This window comes from Homo sapiens, chromosome 7 (assembly GCF_000001405.40).
Source record: "Homo sapiens chromosome 7, GRCh38.p14 Primary Assembly".
In the NCBI taxonomy this organism is placed as follows: domain Eukaryota; kingdom Metazoa; phylum Chordata; class Mammalia; order Primates; family Hominidae; genus Homo; species Homo sapiens.
The window spans coordinates 128,569,566-128,572,326 of record NC_000007.14 but is presented as its reverse complement, the minus strand read 5'-3'; the positions used below and the strand labels follow the sequence as shown (position 1 = coordinate 128,572,326).

General features: G+C 44.3%; 1 pseudogene; it reads left to right on the top strand.

The window, feature by feature from the left end:
* Positions 1,602–2,132, top strand: RPS10P15 (ribosomal protein S10 pseudogene 15; annotated as a pseudogene).

Genomic DNA, 2,761 nt, shown 5'->3' with positions numbered 1-2,761 from the left:
GGTATAAAATCATAGCATTTGTAAATAACAAGGTTTTATCCTCCTTTCTATAATTTATACCTCATTTGTTTTACATTTTACTGCATTGAATAAAACATGAAATAATAATCATAGAAAACATTTTTCCGTTCTTCATTTTCATGGTAACACTTCTAAAGCTTTACCATTAAAAACTATATTAACCCATTTATGCCCGAGGTTGCAAATTTTTTTCTGTGAAAAATCAGACCTTGGTGATGACCTTGAACAGTAGGATATCAATAACTCCCACAAGCTTAGCAACCCAATAATGAAACACTAAGCATAAATGGGCTAAGACCCCAAACGGACAAAACAATCTTGAAAAAGAACTAAGTTGGAGGTCCCACACTTCCTGATTTCAAAACTTACTACATGCCGGGCGCAATGGCTCATGCCTGTAATCCCAGCACTTTGGGAGGCCGAGACAGGCGGATCACCTGAGGTCAGGAGTTCCAAGACCAGCCTGGCCAACATGGTGAAACCCCATCTATACTAAAATTACAAAACATAGTCGGGCGGGATGGTGCACACCTATAGTCCCAGCTACTCGGGAGACTGAGGCAGGACAATCGCTTGAACCTGGGAGGTGAACGTTGCAGTGAGCTGAGATTGCACCACTGCATTCCGGCCTGGGCAACAAAGTGAGACTCTGTCTCAAAAAATAATAATAATAATAAATTTTTAAAAATTTGGCCAGGCGTGGTGGCTCACGCCTGTAATCCCAGCACTTTGGGAGGCCGAGGCAAGCGGATCACAAGGTCAGGAGATCAAGACCATGGTGAAACCCCGTCTCTACTAAAAATACAAAAAATTAGCTGGGTGCAGTGGCGGGCGCCTGTAGTCCCAGCTACTCGGGAGGCTGAGGCAGAAGAATGGCGTGAACCCGGAAGGTGGAGCTTGCAGTGAGCCGAGATAGCGCCACTGCACTCCAGCCTGGGCGACAGAGCGAGACTCCGTCTCAAAAAAAAAATAATAAATAAATAAATAAATAATAAAAAATAAAAAATTACAAAGCTATAGTAATCAAAACATCGTGGTATTGGCATTAAAGACAGACATATATCAATGGAAAAGAATGGACAGCCAGAAGGAAATCCTCACATACATGGTCAAATGATTTTTGATAAGGTGCCAAGGCTATTCAATGGTGAAAGTCAATTTTTTCAAAACCTGGTGCTGGAGGCTGGCGCGGTGGCTCACGCCTATAATCCCAGCACTTTGGGAGGGTGAGGTGGGCAGATCACTTGAGGTCAGGAGTTTGAGACCAGTCTGGCCAACATGGCGAACCCAATCTCTACTAAAAATAGAAAAATTAGCTGGGCATGGTGACACATGCCTATAATCCCAGCTACTCGGGTGGCTGAGGCACGAGAATCACTTGAACCTGCAAGGTGGAGGTTGCAGTGAGCTGAGATTACTGCCAGTGCACTCCAGCCTGGACGACAGAGTGAGATGGTCTCAAAACATGGTGCTGGAGAAACTGGATATGTACATGCAAATGAAATGAAAGTTGGACCATTACTACATGCAAAAATTAACTCAAAACACATCAAAGACCTCAACATAAGAACTAAAACTAGCTTTCCAGCCCCAGCCCCGGACCCTGCAGCCGCAGAGATGTTGACGCCTAAGAAGAACCGGATTGCCATTTATGAACTCCTTTTTAAGGAGGATGGTCATGGTGGCCAAGAAGGATGTCCACATGCCTAAGCACCCAGAGCTGGCAGACAAGAATGTGCCCAACCTTCATGTCATGAAGGCCATGCAGTCTCTCAAGTCCCGAGGCTACGTGAAGGAACACTTTGCCTGGAGACATTTCTACTGGTACCTTACCAATGAGGGTATCCAGTATCTCCGTGATTACCTTCATCTGCCCCCGGAGATTGTGCCTGCCACCCTACCCCGTAGCCGTCCAGAGACTGGCAGACCTTGGCCTAAAGGTCTGTATGTGAGGAGTGCTGTGCTACCTGGTGCCGACAAGAAAGCCGAGGCTGGGGCTGGGTCAGCAACCGAATTCTAGTTTAGAGGCGGATTTGGTCGTGGACGTGGTCAGCCACCTCAGTAAAACTGGAGAGGATTCTTTTGCATTGAATAAACTTACAGCCAAAAAAAAAAAAAAAAAAAAGAACTAAAACTATAATCAACTCTTACAAGAAAACAGGGAGAGCCAGGCGCGGTGACTCACGCCTTTACTCCCAGCACTTTGGGAGGCCAAGGTGAGTGGATCAACTGAGTTCAGGAGTTTGAGACCAGCCTGGCCAACATGATGAAACCCCATCTCTACTAAAACTACAAAAATTAGCTGGGTGTGGTGACGAGCGCCTGTAATTCCAGCTACTTGGGAGGCTGAGGCAGGAGAATCACTTGAACCCGGGAGGAGGAGTTTGCAGTGAGCTGAAATCGTGCCACTGCACTCCGGCCTGTGCTACAGAGACTCCATCTCAAAAAAAAGAAAAAAAAAAAAAAAAAAGAAGAAGAAAACAGGGAGAAAGTGTTACAGCGTTGAATTTAGCAATGATCTCTCGAATGTGACACCAAAAGCAGAGATAAAAACAGTAAAAATACATAAAATAGACATCAAAATTTAAAATCTGTGCATTAAGTGACACAATCAACAGAATAAAAAGGAAACCCATGGAATGGGAGAAAATACTTCCAATTTATATATATGGTAAGGCATTAATAACCCAAATATATGAATAACTGCTACAACTCAACAACGACAAAATAAACAACCCAA